The sequence below is a fragment of the Homo sapiens genome, chromosome 4, assembly GCF_000001405.40.
Source record: "Homo sapiens chromosome 4, GRCh38.p14 Primary Assembly".
Taxonomy (NCBI): domain Eukaryota; kingdom Metazoa; phylum Chordata; class Mammalia; order Primates; family Hominidae; genus Homo; species Homo sapiens.
The window spans coordinates 25,023,972-25,041,473 of NC_000004.12; the positions used below are offsets into that span (position 1 = coordinate 25,023,972).

At 45.9% G+C, this 17,502-nt stretch overlaps 1 protein-coding gene and 2 long non-coding RNA genes across 5 annotated transcripts in view; 2 read left to right on the top strand and 1 right to left on the bottom strand.

Annotated features, from left to right (window-relative positions):
- LOC102723675 (uncharacterized) overlaps positions 1–2,932 on the top strand; it is a 52,704-nt gene extending 49,772 nt beyond the window's left edge. The window contains exons 5-6 of the long non-coding RNA XR_007058082.1: positions 759–850; positions 2,709–2,932. This is a non-coding gene — a long non-coding RNA (uncharacterized LOC102723675). The remainder of the gene's footprint in view (positions 1–758; positions 851–2,708) is intronic.
- LGI2 (leucine rich repeat LGI family member 2) overlaps positions 1–6,975 on the bottom strand; it is a 38,866-nt gene extending 31,891 nt beyond the window's left edge. For all 3 annotated transcript variants that reach the window (XM_017008356.2, NM_018176.4, XM_011513850.3), the window contains exons 1-4: positions 6,526–6,975; positions 4,536–4,607; positions 2,897–2,968; positions 849–920 (exon numbers count right to left, since the gene is read on the bottom strand). In XM_017008356.2, coding sequence (XP_016863845.1) covers positions 849–920; positions 2,897–2,968; positions 4,536–4,607; positions 6,526–6,722 — 413 coding nt within the window. In that variant the 5' untranslated portion in view covers positions 6,723–6,975. The remainder of the gene's footprint in view (positions 1–848; positions 921–2,896; positions 2,969–4,535; positions 4,608–6,525) is intronic.
- LOC124900684 (uncharacterized) lies at positions 6,137–16,987 on the top strand. The gene is made up of 2 exons (XR_007058083.1): positions 6,137–6,262; positions 15,330–16,987. It is a non-coding gene; the product is annotated as an uncharacterized LOC124900684 (long non-coding RNA).
- The last annotated feature ends 515 nt before the right edge of the window (positions 16,988–17,502 follow it).

The window sequence follows — 17,502 nt, forward strand, 5'->3', positions numbered from 1 at the left end:
CTTAGTTGAAACCACAGATTAATCCAATATAAAACAAAAAGTGATTTGCATTCAAATGAGAGGAACCATGAAAATGTCTCTATTCCACTTTGTCCTAATTCTGATCCAACATTCCACCTAGTCATCTAAGCCTTGGTTCCAAAATCTGTAAAATGGGGACTCACAGATTATTATGAAAGATGAAGAAGAGAAGGCTCACTAAGCACCCAGCCCTGTGCCTGGTGCCAAGCAGGTATAAGACCCACAATGATTTCCTTCCTGGCTGGGTGCGGTGGCTCACGCCTGTAATCCCAGCACTTTGGGAGGCCGAGGCAGGTGGATCACTTGAGATCAGGAGTTCGAGACCAGCCTGGCCAACATAGTGAGGCCCCGTCTCTACTAAAAATACAAAAATTAGTCAGGCATAGTGGTGTGTACCTGTAATCCCAGCTACTCGGGAGGCTGAGGCATGATAATGGCTTGAACCCAGGAGGCGGAGGCTGCAGTGAGCCGAGATCATGCCACTGCACTCCAGCCTGGATGACAGAGTGAGACTCCGTCTCAAAAAAAAAAATTTCTTCCCATCTCCACCATCAAGCAACACAAGTTCCTCACACCCCAGGATGCTCCTTAATTCCCACACAGTCATGTGGCCTATAACTGCAATTCAGGTTGATAGAGATGATAATAAAGACAAGTATGTGTGTACTCACAATGAGCCAGTGTCTGACTGACAACATAGAAACCTCTTGAGTAATCTAGAAATTCATTTCCTTCAGGGACAGTTACAGCCAAGAAACAGAGAGGCTCCAGGAAACCAATCTTACTCCACATATTAGAGGACTTACAATACTTTTCATAGGACTTACAGGTGAGTCAGGTCACGGAGGCCACGAAAGGCATTTCTTGAAATGGTTTCTATTTTGTTCCCTTCAATGAACCTAAGAGGAAAAGTTGTATAATTAAAATGAATTTTCTCTCCTTAGTATCCCAAAAAAACTATGTTGGTAAGCTTTCAGAATAAAATCTAAAAGTATTCCTGAATTATAAGAATTGATCTCTGAAGACTAGGTCAGCTACACCAAATTCCATGTGGTAGCAGGATGTATGCAAAAATGCGTGCACGGGAGTGTGTGGTCTGCACTCCTTCCAGAAGTGGCATGGAAGTCTCCAAAGAATTCTGAGCTGGCAACATGGGTAAAAACATCCTGGGGAGAAATAAAGAAGAAAGCACTATACAAAGGCAAGAAATTCTCATATCTCTGCAAGACTGGAGCACTTCCAGACATTTTCCCTACTCAATCCCACATTTCACGGTGCCTGGCTATTCATACTTCTGTTAATGTCACTGTCCCTTGAGAGGGTTCTCTTGTTTTACATCTCCACATTAAAGTTTTTTGCTGGGGGAGAGTTCTATCAAGCTTGGTTTTCAGCAACCTTGAGTTTATCGTGTCCTACACCATCTAGTCACCAAGCAAATGGGTGACAAGGCAGGAAAAGCTCAAGCTCTCTAAGCTACTAGGAAGTAGGAAGTATAATGAAGTTGAGTAGGAACCAAACTTCTTTCTCTGTACTAAAACCCCACAGGGTTGGCACATGGGATCTTGCAATAATACCACTGGCCATGCTTTAAGGTCTTTGTGGGAAATAATTGATGTGAATTCACTACGACTATTCTCTAGGCTCAGGGAGAACTAAATTTTAGTTACAGCATTATATTAAGTCAAATATAAGAGGGTCTTTGATGAGATGCTCCATGGTTGGGGCTTTGAAACACAACATCATCAACGAATTAGTTCTTGATTCTTGCACTGAGAACTCACTGATGGTTTTTAAAACTGAGATGTCTTTTCAGTAATAGACTTCAGCATAAACTGATGAGCTAACTTCCTCTCCAATAACCTTGACCATAAGATGAACTATCGTAAGAGAAAACTCATAGCTTTACAACTGCTACCTCCATTGGCTATGTATGTGCTTTGATAGACCTTAGTCAGATTTAGCATTGCAGTCCTGCTACACTTTCCATACTATGTATATGATAATATCAGAGTATTATGCGAATACACATATTATGTATACTCTGGAGAAAGAATTCCTCCAGGAACATCTTTTCTCAAGACACAAAGTCAGCAGAGAGCTTTCTTATATCTAGGATGTGTCTAGAATTCCAATACCTACCTGTTGAACTCAGACAAGAAAATGAGACAAGGCTTTAAAAATCCCTCTGAATGCTAAGTGAGGCTATCCCATCTGATAGCAGGATTAACATTATTACAAAGTTACCAAAGACAAGGATGAAAGAACTTAAAGGGGAAAAAAGACATGAAAGGAAGAAAAGGCAGAAATCAGAACAAGGGCAAAGCTCATTGCGAGGGGAGAAATCTGCACATCAAAAAAGGGAAAAATGACCTTTTTTTAAGGAAAAAAATAAAATAAAATTAGACCCTCAGTAGCAATTCATAGGAGATACTGCAAAAGAGATGTAGAACAGTGAGTGAACAACATGAAGTTGTACCCCCCAAATAGGGAGGCTTTCTTAAAAATAAGTAACCCTCAGAACCCCGCAGCTCTATTTCTGGCTGGTCAGCAAATCCATGCCTATTTATGAGAGGTAAAAATATCCAACGCAACTTCCAATTGTGCTTACTACATGACAAATTAAATGTCAGCAGAGAATGAATGACTATCTCTCCTTCTTTGTTTTGTCTCTCCCTCTTTGTCTCCAGCCTCCTCCTTCCCCAGCATGTTTGTAAGCAAGTAAACTATAAAAGGTCAGTGCTGAAAAGAGAATGGGGTGTTCTCCAGTTTCTCCACCCCTAAACCCTTGCAGAGATGCTGTTCCAGCACAGAAACCAATCCAGAAATTCTACCAAGATACCGAATGTTCAGCAAATAGACAAAGCACAAAACTTACAGGTATTCAAGATGAAAAAGTCCAGCAAAAGCATCATCCCGGATGATCGTGAATGAGTTAGAATTCAGCAATCTGAAAGTAAGAGACAGATTCCAATGGAGAGATGTAAAACTTGAGTCACATGGTAAAGCCATTTCTCTTTCCTTTGCTACGTTTTGATCTGTGGGCAAACATGAGCTCTTCTTAGCCTAAGGAGACCACATTTTGTTGTCAAAAACCTGATTCTCACAGCCTGCTCTTAGAGACGATGGCAAGTGGATTCCTTTTGACCAGATTTTCTTGTCCTCTCCAGAACTCTACTCCTTTCTTCCCTGTGTGTCTCAGTAAATATGATCTGATAGCTGTGACTTTAAAACATTATAATGCTCAGCACGACTAAACAGCCAGTGAATGCTTTATGGTACACAAGCAATCATAAAATTAGAGATCTAAAAAGATCTAATCCAAATCTATTTTTACGAAAATAAAAGCCCAGAGAAGCTAAGTGACTTGACCAAAGTCATGCAGCTGGACCCATAACAATAGTTAAAAAAAAAAAAAAAAAAGTTTGTTTAAGAAACTTTCAGGAGACTGTTACTACGTAGTTTTCTATTTGAGTCATCACCCAAGTCTACTGGCAAAAGAATACCTAAAATTGTATTTCTATTATATGAAAAGTATATTTTAATAGCACTGCAATTTCTAAGAGGCCTCAGATTTTAAAATGTTAAGTGTAATGTTAAAAGTAGGCATATAAGATTTCAAGAACAAAAGTATCAAGAGTATGTTTATTGAGGATGAATAGTGCTCTCCTATATTCCATTTATCCAAATTTTTCTATAGCACATTGCTTGTTTTAATTTCAGTCTCATCTCAAATTTAAGAAACCAACACAGATCAAGAGAATGAGGTGTGTACTCTTACTTTGCCTGTCACTGGATTGCTTTTGAAAACTACTTTTTGGACATTTGTTTTCATCAGCACACATTACCCAGCCTGGGTTACAGGGCACAACATGAGCATCACCACAGGGACTTGAGCATTGCTCACAGAGAGGAGATGGGATGAGGAATAGTTAGGAGTGTGGGCTTTTGGCCCTGGACTAGAATCTGGCTCTGATTTGGGACAAGTTAGTTAAGTTCCCTGAACCTCAGTTTCCTTATCTATCAAATGGGATCATAAGCATGCCTTCATCATACCGATGAAGTGATGATGAAATAAAATTACGCACGTAAGTTCATAGGATGCTGCCTGACTGGTTTAAGTTCTCAGCAAACTAGAAACACTCCTATTTCCAGAGTAACATTAAGATTTTAAAATGAAGTTTTCTTTTAAACTGAGGTGTTTGGGAAACAGTGCATTTAGGTGACTTTCAGGTCATGAGTCAATGCAATTACCTCCCCATTTACTAGATCTGGGTGTTGGGATCTACAATAAAGTCTCTGAAGAAAACAGGTATCGAACTAAGGAAAGAGCTGAGCAGGGAGCCTCAGTGCTTTGCTGGGGACATCACAGGGTAAATTAACACCAAGAGGCAGCCACGGTCTCCTCACGGAGCTGGGGTACTTTAGGAAGGGCTGATACCAAAGAGGCAGAGACGGCCCTCCAAGGATGGCACCTCAGGGCCCCCCATTGTGCAGAGGGAACTTCCCATACTCACAGCAGCTGCAGAGAAGGCAGATGGGAAAACATTCGGTCCTTGATTTCTGAAAACGTCCCATTTACCAGGCTCCTACGGGCAAAAGATGAACAAAAGTAGGCCTAGGTTTCTTTTAGGAAGTGCCATGCAGGGTGGGTAATCAAACTCTGCCTCCACCTGTACTTCAAACCCTGACTCTCAGGAGTGAGGCATAGCACAGTTGCCCAGGATCTTCCCCGGGGTAGGAATAAGAAGAGACAAGCCACTTCCCAATGAATCAGATCAATATGAAGACTAGTCTGAATAACAGAAACCTTTACCATCAGCTCCTTCCACAGACATTATCTCGGTCAGTTTAAATCAATCCCTTCACTTCCTTTTCTTAACTACAGGAGGTCCTTGCCTGAAAATGGATAATCGCTTCACCTCTGCCCATGATTCTGTTTGTGTAGACACAGCGTTGTGTTGGCCTATGAAATGCTGGGGTAGGATTAAGCATTCCTCTTGGGACCCCATCTCTGAAAGACAGAGCACTCCTGATTAAATGCAACATGAAAGCCCTGGGGAAAAACTCACAGACACCTGAACTCCCCTGTGTGGGGAGAGGCAGTACCATCTGCCAGATAAAACGGTCAACCAGGAGGCAAGATGCTTGGCTTTATTTCTGCCCCCAGGCCCCCATCCTTTCTGGCCACAGCAGGATCTGAATACATTATTTCAGAATTCCTTTCAGTTGGCATGCAGATCACTTAAGCAGCTGCTGGTCTGAAGGATTTAATAAGGGGAACTCTAATTTCTGGAATCCTCCATGTCACCCGACTTAGCAATATTAAGAATCAAAAAGGTCCTCTGTTCCCACCAGCCAAACTCTTCTGACTTTCTATAAATGCAAATGGGAACCCCCTCACTCCTGGGTCCAGGCCCCTACAATTTGCCTTGGGTGGGAGGCTGGGAAGCACTGGACACAAGAAAGTATCTTGAGCACAAGCAACGTCACCCCGGGGATTCCCTGCCTCCACCACTGACTGGGCACCCAGGCATCTTGGCCTGGAACAAGAGAGTGGTCTTAGCAGGAAACATGTCCTAGCAGTAAAGATACAGCCCAACAGCCCCTTCCACCGCCCTTGTGAGAGCTGGTCATTTGGCTTGAGTGGCCAGGTGAGGGCAGGATGAAAGCACCTCTCGGCAGGTGGATACCTAATGTGAAGCCCTTTCCTGTCAGTTCCTCCTGCTGAAAAAGCAGCCAACACAACTGTGTGATGGAGAAAGGGGGCAAGAAGCCCTCCTGACCTCAGGGCAAGAAGGCTGACTTCAAAGCACTTGGCCACTGGGCTAGGCGCCCAACATGCCCCAAACCTCTGCCCAGCCTTCTGTTACCCCTCTTCTAGGCCACGGGGGGCGGCCCCTCCCCTCCCAGAGCCTGCATGCCTTGACCTCGACTTTTTGCAACCTGCAATGTGGAGAAGTCGGGAGGAGGCCACGGGGTGAACATTCGCCCCAGACCTGATGTGGGGCAGTGAGGCCTCACCCTGCCCAGTTTGCACTCAGTCAGGTCGTGTTCAGCTGCTCCTATGCACGCCCCTACACACACAACTCCAACCCGCAAACACACACACACACACGCACACGCCCTCTCAAACTTTAATGCACCCTTGAGTCTCCCGGGGACGTCAAACGCACACTCCAGGACTCCACTCCAAAGACTGCTTCAGAGCAGCTGGATTCTGCATTGGCACAAGCTTCCCCAGGTGAGTCTGATGCAGGTGGCCCGTGGGCCACACTCTGAGAAACGCTGCCACAGGAACCTGTCTGGGTTCCCAGATTCTGGGGCTCAGGTCCTCACCGTCCTCCCCGGGGGCCAACACTCCACCCACGTCCCCCACACAAAGGCAAAGAAGGGGCCTGGGGAGTGGGTCAGGGTCGCGCTGGCCCGGCGCCAGAGGCAACTCCCTCGCGGCGGCGGACGCAGGGTGGGGCGGGACGGGATGGGGGCTGGAGGGGTCCCACTCACAGGGAGCTGATGTCGCCCGGCACGATCCTGGGCACCCAGGAAGAGCCCACGCAGATGATAGACTCCTTGGTACAGCTGCAAGTGGCGGGGCAGCGCGCCAGCCGCCTCACCTGCGCGCTCCGCGGTATCAGGCACGCGGCGCCCAGCAGCAGCAGCAGCAGCCCGAGCGCTCCGCAGCCGCCTCTCCGCAGCGCCATGCCCGGTCCCCGCTCCCCGCCCGGGCCCCGACCCCCACCGCCGCGCCGCGCGCTCGGACCCGGCGCCGCTGCAGACGCGGGCGCCGCTCGCTGCTCTGCCGCCGCCGCTGCTGGCGAGGACTAGGGAGCCGCGGGTGTGGGAGGCCGAGCCGCAGCCGAGCAGCATGCTGGCCGCCACCCCCACTCGGCGCCCCCCCACCCGAGCCCGGGCTGCTGGGCGGCCGCCGCCGCTGCGCCCGCCGCACTCGCGCCTGCCTGACATCAGCACTCGCGCCCGCAGCCCGGCTCTGGCCAATGAATAATGCATGGCGGGGCCCGCCCCGCGGGGGAGGGGGCCAGCGCCGGCCCCGTGGCGCCCCACCCGGCCCCCACCTCGCCACCCCCTCTCGCCCCGGGCCGGGCGCGGGGACAGAGGGAAAAGTTGGGTGACCTTGGGGGAGGGGCCAAGCCTGGCGGAGACCCCCGTCGGGGCCTGACTGAGCGGTGGAGGATCCGATGCCTGCAATACCTCCAGGGGTATAATCTGGGGAGGGCACTGGGTTCCTTTCAGGCAAATCAATAAAGTCGGAGCGGGGAGTGTGGAGAACCGGCTTGATTACTGGGGAGGGAGGCAGCCCTGGGTGCTTTGAAGAGGAGAGACTTTGGAGCAGCCTTTATTAATTTTGAAGTGCATGCTGCCGGTAGGGTCAGCGAGGATGGCTTTGCTTGTCTTCTGCGGTGGGGCAGTGAGGTCTGGCTCTCGCTCCCACAGCACCAGGGGTTACTGAAGCCAGCCAGTCCTCCCATGGGAGGAACGTGGGGAAGCAAAGCCGCTGCAGCCTGCACGCCCGGCGCTCTGGGCCCTGCCTGCTGCCTGCTAAAGAGCTGGAAAGCCCGGGAAAGTTTCCCCTCGCTCAGCTGCCCACGGGTCACCCCACCCGCCCCAGTCAGAGGAGGGTTTGTAGAGATTGAGGGTGTGATACATTCTAGCCACTGTACTTTTAATCTTCTAACCTTTTGAGGCAGGTCCTACTTATATCCTTAATTTATTGATGAGGCTGCTGACGCCCAGAAAGCATCCTGACTGGCTGATGGTCCAGCAGCTCCTGGCTGGGCAGGATGGGGCTCGGAGCCTTGAAGGGCTACCTTAACTGGGCCCTCCTGAGCCCCTCTTCAACTCCTTAAGTTTGAAGCAATGAGCGGAAATCTTAACACAGGTAATGTGCGGCTGAGGAAATCAAAGAAAATGACCAAAGCGGAAACAAAGTAATGGCTAATAACCTGAACTGCTGGGAGAAGGGAATCACAGCACGACTGTCGAGCTGCAAACCAAGGAAAAGCATGCCAGATGCTAAAACCTACTCAGAAAAGTCAGTATCGAATGCAAAAGTAGGAATCATACTATTGCTTCTTCAGCAATTATTGTTGGTGATCCATTGACAAGATCCATGAGGACGGTATCAGGCTGGCTGCTGTGGGAGGGAACAAAGGAACAGCTCCTGTCCTCAGGGAGCTAAAAGTCTAGCTGGACAGACAACCCTAAAAGAGCAACTCCACTGGCTACAAGGGGGTCACAGACTGACCAAAAGAGGTTCAGGAATTGAAAGAGAGCTTTGCGTAGGCAACTTCATGGAGGGAGTTAGACATTCCCTGCTGGTGACTATGTAAAAAGCACCTGGCATCAGTACAAACCAGCCTGCATTTATCATCATTTAATTCTTGCATCTGTCCTGAGAAATGGGTCCTCCCATTTTATGGATGGGAACATTGAGCTCAGAGAAGTTTTTATCTTGTCCAAGATCACACAGGACATGGCCAGGGAGATCATACTCCACAACTGGCTGCTGTGTCTAACCCTCGCTGCTGTGTGGGCATGCATTTACAAATACTTTACTCAGCAAGCCCCAGTGTTAGGGGCTGAGGACACAGACCACAGCCTGGGAGGGCGACAGACATGCAGACCCACAATCGTGGATGTGTGTGCTGTGCACCTGAAAGATGTTTCCCTTAAGAGGGATGGGCTACTGCTTTATAGAGCAGAGGAACGGAGGCTTCTCAAACAGAGCACTCCCTGCTGACCCAGGAAAAGAAAATCTATTTCTCACCTCTGAGTGAGAGCCTGGGGGCAGGGTGGCATAGCTAAATGCTGGCCTCAGGACTAGACAGGTTGGGGTTTGCATCCCAGCCTACCACTTACTGATGTGTAATTGTGTAATCCCAGCCTGCCACTTACTGCTGTGCAAGCTGTGATCTTTCTAAACCTCCATTTCTTCACCTGTAAACAAGAGGTTGTTGTAACCACATTTGGGGGTTAAATGAGATCAAGAAAGTAAAGCATTTAATACCACAAAGGAGGCACTGGGCGTTTGAGCAGAGTTCTATGTGACTAGATTGTAGGTAAGTGACGGAGAGAGGACTATGGAGGGAGATGGGTTTTCCTGACTTCTGTCCTTCCATTGTAATCAGAGTCACTGTCTTGTGTTGTGGTTCTCAATTGCGGGTAATTCAGGGGACACTTGGCCATGTGTGGAGATATTTGGGGTGGGTGCCCCTGGCGTCTAATGTGTAGAGGCTGGGGACGCTACTAAACATCTTGCAGTACTCAGCAAGAATGATCCAGGTCAAAATGTTGCTAGAGCCAAGGTTGAGAGAGCCTGGCTTAGTGTTCTGGAAAGACCCTTGGCATGAGGAATTCCAGAGATGCAGATTGTAAGTCAGGTTCATCAATCACAAGCAAACCTTCTTGGTCATGTTATTCCCATCTCTAGCTTCTATTTTTTCATCTATAAAATGGGGATAAAGAGCCCTTCTGCACCCTTTCCTAAATAAATGTGACATATCATCATTGTTCCTAACCTTAACTTCCAACAGCTAGAGCTAGCTCCAGCCCACCCTCTCCACCCCAAAAAACTAAAAAGTTCCTGATAGGAATGGTGCAGAAAGTAGGCCAGAGTAGCATAGCTGGCAGAGTTAGTATTTGTTTCGGCTCTGCTAGAGACACTAAGTAAGTGAGTGCTTGTAAATTATAAGGCGCAGTTTATAAATTAAAATATAAAAATGGAAATGCAGATTACTTTGGTGTGGTTCCAAGTTCCTCAGCAGTTTAAAAAAAAACTTAATAGACAATCAGAGAGACACAATCTGTTTCAGGAAATAGCAAGAGTTTTTGAAAAATCTTTGTAAAAATCCTTGTTGAGACGTAAACTTACTCAAGCTATGTCTTTATGACATGAATAACACACGTTCCTACAGTGGCTGAAATGGCGTAGGCTTGAGTGGCCTTCTCTAAAGTCTCAAACCGGTTCTACTTTATATGACTCCATGTGTTGGCAGCTCAAAATGGCATTCATTCATGTGTTCATGTACCCTCATGTTCAGCTACTTGTCAGTTAATTCTGTCAGTATTAACTGAGAACCTACTATGTGCTGGGCATCAATAATAAAACAATGACCAAGACAGACATGATCCCCACTTTCATTGCAGACAGATATTAAATTAAAAGAATGCATACATGAGTATGCAATTGCAAATTTTGATAGAGCCTATGAAGGAAGAGAATAGGGGAGACCTAATTTAGGTGTGTATTAGTCCATTTTCATGCTGCTGATAAAGACATACTGGAGACTGGTTAATTTATAAAGAAAAAGAGGTTTGATGGACTCATAGTTCCACATGGCCTCATGGGGAGGCTTCAAAATCATGGTGGAAGGTGAAAGGCATGTCTTACATGGTGGCAGACAAGAGAAAATGAGAGCCAAGCAAAAGGGGTTTCTCCTTACAAAATCATCAGATCTTGTGAGACTTATTCACTAACACGAGAACACTATGGGGGAAACCACCACGCTGCTGATTCAATAATCTCCCACCAGGTCCCTCCCACAACATGTGGGAATTATGGGAGCTACAATTAAAGATGAGATTTGGGTGGGGACACAGCCAAACCATATCAAGATGATGAAAGCCTGTCTGAGACCTTAGCTGAGTGCTTTGAGATGAGGAAGGGCAGGCAAGTGCAGGAGGGCTGCGGGCAGTAAGCAGAGGCTAAGGGAGGGGCGAAGCAGGCAGAAAGCATGGGATGTGTGAAGTCACCTGGACCAGAACATGCTGAGTGCATGTAAGGCTCTGAATGCAGGCCAGTGTGGCCACAGCATGGAGAATAAGGGAGAGGAAGAGATGAAATGAGGTCTGAAAGGTAGAAAGAAACTAAATCATGCAGGACCTTGTAGACCAAGGCAAAGGCAAAGAGCCTGCATGTTGTTCTAAATGCCAGAGGCCATTGAAAGACGTCAGTCAGAGAAGCAGCCTGCTATCCTTTCTACTTCACAGCAGTTATTTCTGACTGCTGAGTAGAGAATGAGAACTAGTTCCACTGAACTAGTCCTGGTGAGAGATGATGGCAACTGGGACTTGACTGGTGGCAGAGAAGAGTGGAGGTGGACTCAAGATGTATCTTTTTTTTTTTTTTGAGACGGAGTCTCGCTCTTTCACCCAGGCTGGACTGCAGTGGCGCTATCTCGGCTCACTGTAAGCTCCACCTCCCAGGTTCACGCCATTCTCCTGCCTCAGCCTCCCAAGTAGCTGGGACTACAGGCACCCGCCACCATGCCTGGCTAATTTTTTTTGTATTTTTAGTAGACACGGGGTTTCACCGTGTTAGCCAGGATGGTCTCGATCTCCTGACCTCGTGATCTGCCCGCCTTGGCCTCCCAAAGTGCTGGGATTACAGGTGTGAGCCACCGCACAGGAAGGATCAGCAAGACTAGCTGCTGGTTTAATTTAGGAGGGAGGTGGAAAGAAATGGTAAGAATGCCTCCCAGGTTTTGCCTGGAGCCAGTGGGTGGATGGAGGTGCCATTTCTTAAGATGAGAAAGCCTAGAAGAGGAAAGGGTTTGGCTGGAAGAGAAGTATTAAGAGATTGGTCTTGGGAATGTTGAGTTTTAAATGTCCATGAGGCATCCATGTGCAGATGTTGAGCTGTCAGCTAGAAGGCCAGTCAGGATGGGAAGGGGGAGATGGGTGGAGGTGGATGGGAAATCTTCAGACCATAGGCTAATCCTTGATTCTCTCTTGATAAGCCCTCAATGTAACATTGGTTGATTGAATGAATGAATGATATTTCAGAAATACAGACATTAGAGGGACGATATCTCTCAGGTGCAGTCAGTAAGAAGCAATAGAAATCTTACAGAAGAATGTGACTAAGAATATCACAGTTTGGGGATTCCATTTTAAGACCAAAAATAGGCTGTAAACTCTACACCAAACTGTGAATCTTGTAAGAATCTCAGATACCTCATCAGGCTGCTTATCCTCCCTCTCTTCTCCTACTCCCCGTTTTCCAAGCTAACTTTATCTCCACACCCTACCTGGTCTTCTCACCAGAGATAGAAGCTTTGGAAAGCCTCCACTAATGTCTAATACTTCCAACTCTGATGCTTGCTGTAACAACTAAAGCAAAATTATTCATCCAAACCTCAAGGGTACTTGGCTTGAATGGCTACAAATTAGATTCCTTGGGGTGAAAAAGAAAAAAGTTCTTGTCCATTTTTTTAAAATCATGGAGTATGTCAATCCCTTCTTGACCACATCACCCCAATAGGCTATTCTTGTGGTTGGCTGCTGACCAAATGTAGATCCTGTTTCTGGCTTCCCACCATTTGTTTTCTTCATAAACTCAGTGGGTGTCACAAGTCTGGAACTCATTCGGAACCTATCCCTGATTGGCCTCTTAGATTGCATCATGTTCTTGAAGAGCTACCTTTGGATATCTTACTCAGATTCCTAAATCAGCCCAAAGGCCCTCAGGACCCTGGCATTGGTTTCTGGTGACCTTTGTTACCTCCTCCCCATCACCAGTGTAATGTGCCTGTGGGATTTTTGTTACCCTGTACCAGCTTCCCCTTCTCATGACAACAGGGCATGACTTTGCTTTGGAGAGAATCACTCCTCCTCAGTGTTCAGTCTGTGTGGCTCACTTGATGAATACCTTCATCTCCCAGAAGTATACACGTCATCTAGACTAGAGCATTCCAGAATATTCCATTCTCCCAGCCACACTGAGTGGTTTAGAGATAAACACACCACCCAACTGGAACAACCAGGGCTAACAAAACCCCTTGACAGGGCTTTTTCTCTCTCTCCCCAATTTCATAATGTTCTTTCCATCCTCTTTGTTAAGGGGGTTTTGAAATTCTGCTCCTCTCCCCTTTATGTCATCTCTTTTTTTCTTGATCAATACTGTCAGAGTTTTGTTGATTTTATTAGTTTTCTCCAGGAGTCAAGTTATGCCTTTGTTGCTTTTCTGTATTCTATCTTGGTTTTCTGTTTTATTACTACATGCTTTTATCTTCATCATTGTTTTCTTTTACTTATTCTGCAATTCTGCACTGTGCAAAAAAGTTAATCAGAATCTTTTATTATGCTTTTTTCTTTTACACTTTATGTTTACAAGACAGAATGCCTTTATCTGTGTTCCTAGTTCTAGGAGAATGTGCCCAGTCTTTTAGTTGGGTTGAGTGGATGAGAAGTACATCTGTGAGGTCACAGAGAGTGAGTCTGTGAGTAAAGTCAACCCCCTAAGACAAGCACAGTTTTCTATATAACAAACTTTCAGTCTCAAGTTTACAAGTAACATAATAACTTTATGGGAAATCTCTTTGCTCTTCTTAGCAAACAGACTTAGCAGAAATTCTACGTTAGACGAACGAGTTGTGGAATAAGCAGAGATTTAACTTAAATTTATAATAAGGGGTCTGTAAATATCCTCTAAGCTCTTCTCTTATCCACAAACCATGGTTAATCCAACGCTTTGCATTCTGAAAGGTCTTATATCCTCTCAAGATTTTTGCTATTCAAGACTGTGGCCTCTGGTCTCAACCTAATTTTAATCAAGGCTAAATTAAATATATTTGGGATTTATAATTTTTCTGTTCTTTAGCATCTGAGTTACTCTGTGATCTGATGCCCTCTGTTCAACCCACCCTAGCTCACATCACAATGTCTTCTGGGAAAAGTGTCCGAAATGCATCCACATTTAACCCCATGACTGCTTGCTTATTGGGTTAGACTTCCCAGGGATGTTTGTGTTTGAACGTAGCTCTCAGACTTAAACTAATCACCATGGAGGGAATTTCAGAGTTCCCAAAATCAGAACATGGACAAAAGATTCCACTGCTACCTACGGGCCTGGCTGTGGGTCTCTCCTCTTCGCTTCACCTACATCTTATAGGAAGAGTTGCTCAGAAGACAAGCAGGCATAGCTCATCTTCAGAACTCACTCCCATGCCTCCCTTTCCAAAGCTCACCAACCAAGAAGGTGGTGCAGTGGAGGAGCATGGCCTGTGTTGTTGCATGGCGTGATTTGAATCTCAGTTTCACCAGTTCTAAGGCCTTGATTTCCTCTTCTGCAAATGGGAGAGGACAATGCACATCAGCTTGGATTGCTTGAAGGGTGAAGTCAGTTGAAAAATGTGAACATTCTTATAAGCAGTACAAATTAGTTAACTAAATGGTTAGCTAGTTGGTCTCTGCGTGTTTATTGAGAGCCACAAATCACTATAGATGTAGATATGGATATGGATAAGATATGGGTATGGACATGGATGGATGGACAGATAGATTAGGTAGCTAGATGATAGATAGATAGATAGATAGATAGATAGATAGATAGATAGATAGATAGATAGATAGATGATAGACAGACAGTAGACAGACAGATAGATATAGGTAAATAAGAGAAGATAGAGATAGTCTCCTCAAGAAGCTTAAAATGTACCAAGAAAATAAAACTCTTCTATGTCAAAACTGTCTCCTAGAACCTCAGAAATGTTTTAGTTTTTCTCCAACACTTTCCACAGTCCCAAGAGACAGTACCCGTGAATTTCTCTGAAAGCTGGGGAGCTTAGTTTAATTGTTCAGCAAGCATTTCCTGAGCAGCTCCCATGGACAGGCGCCGTGCTAGACTGTGGGAGTCCACTGGTGAACAAGGCGACTCTTGCTGCCTTCAGCCTGCCCCGCACATGCAACAATTCCAGGTGTACCTCTTGCACTCTGGGATTAGCAGCCCCCAGGCCATTAGGCAGTGTCTTGGGAGCCCAGCCCAAGGACAAGTTGGGGGAGACTCTAGCAATACTCTATCACCACTGCCCTTCCACCAGGACAAGGCCAGACCCGCCACTGTGCTGAGATAAATCTCCAACCGTTAAATAAACCTCATGACTCTTTGTTCTCGATTGTTACAAGGACATTGGAGCCTAGAATTTATGTGGCTCCTGAAGACTGCTAATTTGGTGGGAGAGTGGGTGATCTATCACTTAAGGAAGGGCAAGGGGGTGTGTCTGTTGGCCCAAATGCTGACACACAGGAGCAGTCATTTCAAGGAGAGGACAGTTGTAAATCCCAAGTCTGTCCCCAGCAGACTGTCTTAGCTCATGTCAGACAAAGGGTTGCCTTCTGCTATACATAAACTTCTGGGAGAGTTCTTACCTCCAGCATCCCTATGTTGGGATATTTACCTTCCCTGGAAGGAGAAGTCAAGTAGCCCTTAAGTTTACAATAATATTATCTGATGTTCATCTAGCAGTTTTCTAGGTTACAAGGTCTTTTCATCTCTATTATCTCCATTGCAGCTCACATAACCCAGAACAGAATTTTTCAGAGGAAGAAACTGAGGCTTGGATAGGTTATGTGATCAGGCAGCCAATGTGATCATGTCATCGACTATAGTAGATGGAGTTGTCCTATTCTATCAACAAAGCTATTGGAGAATATTGAAGAGGGAAAAAGAATATCAACGCTTTCCACAAAGTTCTAGAAGGCAGAAGCCTTATCATTCCTTCCACCAGCTAACTCCAAATTATTTGAAGGCATCTCTTTGATGTTGGAATATCATTCAAAAGCAATATTGAATATGACCATTCTTCAGGCCCTCAGAGGAGTCCCACATCCAGGGTCAGAGGCTTGATGACTTGCAGACACACATGAATTCCGTGATGAACCTGTCCAAATATCCCTTGAGGCACCAGCTGAGTGCAAAAGGGGGCATGGAGAATGGAAGCCGTCTGCAAATTCCTCCTTGATCCAAATTAGACCTGGCAAGAGTCAAGCTTTCCCAAGAGCCAAGAGAGAATCACTGGACGTTGACAAGGGCAGAGAGTAGAAAAGACATAGTCACCCTTGGATATCAGGGATAATCCTGGAGCCTCCAGACCAGCAAAAGTCCAGCTGGAAAACCTGCCCAGCCTCTTACACATTCGTCCCCACTCTAGTATGAGCCATGGCAGCTTCCTGGAGAGTACAATCCAAGACAGCCCAATTTATTTTTATCTTTTATCCTCTGAGAAAAATAACAGGATTCATCAATAATGCCATGTTTAGACTCATTTGGGAAATCAAGAAGTTTGCCATGAGAACAGCATTCTCTTTGATCCATTTTACTACAGTATCATATTTTGGAAAATGTAATTATAGCTGGATTCCCCCAGCAAAATCAAAGGACTCTGGGTGTCCTTCTGCTGTATGGGCAGCCCAGGCCACTGGACAAGGTGTCTGATGGCCATACGACTGATGCTGTCAGATCAGCTCAGTATTCTATGTTTCTTCACCTGCTGTAAATGAGCACTGCTCCTGGAAAATGAGGTCAGTCTTCCTCCCGGGTCTTTCCAAGCTCCCTGGAGACACTGGTTTGCAGAGGTGTGCTCTTTGGGATCTTTGGAAAGGAGAGGCTGAGCTGGTATTGACAGTGCAAAACCCTCATTAGGAAGTAACACTGTTAAAAGAGAAAGAGGAGTAGCACCGCAGACTGGATAAAGTCCCTACCAGCCCAGCAGTGAGCTCCGAAGCAGAGATTGCTTGCGGGAGGAGTCCCACATCCAGGGGAAGAGGCTGGGCCCTTGTACCGTGGCCTTGCTTAGTTACAGGACCAGGGTTCCCTTGCTCCCTGCATGCTGAGGAGAATCCAGAGGGGCTAATAGCTGGAGACGGTGAGCTAAGCACGCTCTCAGCCCCTGGGCAGCCAGTCCTTTCATGAAGAGATCTGAGCTGCGATTCTCCAGGTCTGCTACAAATGGTGAGAAGGACATTTGGGCTTGATCAGGGGACATGAGTTCAGAGGATCTCAGTCAAAGCTGTTACATATGTCCAGGACTTTCTGGAGCCAAAAGAATATTTACAGTGATTTCTCCCTAGAAATTCACTGCTTAACAGGAGTTCAAAACTGCTTCTTATTGAAATTTATTCTTTCCTACTTCACTAGCTAATTCAATAAACATCTATTGAGCATTTTCAATCTATATCTATTGAGTTCCTTGAAAATGGCAAACCCTGAGTAAGGGTTGAAGCTACAAATATTCCTGAGGCTTATAACCTCCTCTCCGAGGGCTTACACTTCCACAACAGATATAAATACGATGTGAAAATAACTGAAGAAATCCAAGAAAGCTTGGGACAATTGCTGTGGAAAAGAAAGACATTTGGGCTTGATTAGTTGACAAAAACTGAGAGAAACTCAGTAAAAGTCACAGAAAAACTTCAGGTCTTTCTGGCTGGACCCAAGAGACTTTTAGCAGTAATTTTTCTCTTTTTCTCCTTCCTTTCTTCCTTCCTTCCTTCCTTTCTCTTTCTTTTTCTTTTTTCTTCCTTTCTTTTTTTCTTCTTCCTTTCTTCCTTCCTTTCCTTCTCTCTCTTTCTTTCTTGCTTTTTTTTTTTTGTTTTTTTTTTTGTTTTTGTGAGATAGGGTTTTGCTCTGTTGCCCAGACTGGAGTGCAGCAGCACAATCATAGCTCACTGCAGCCTCAACTTCCT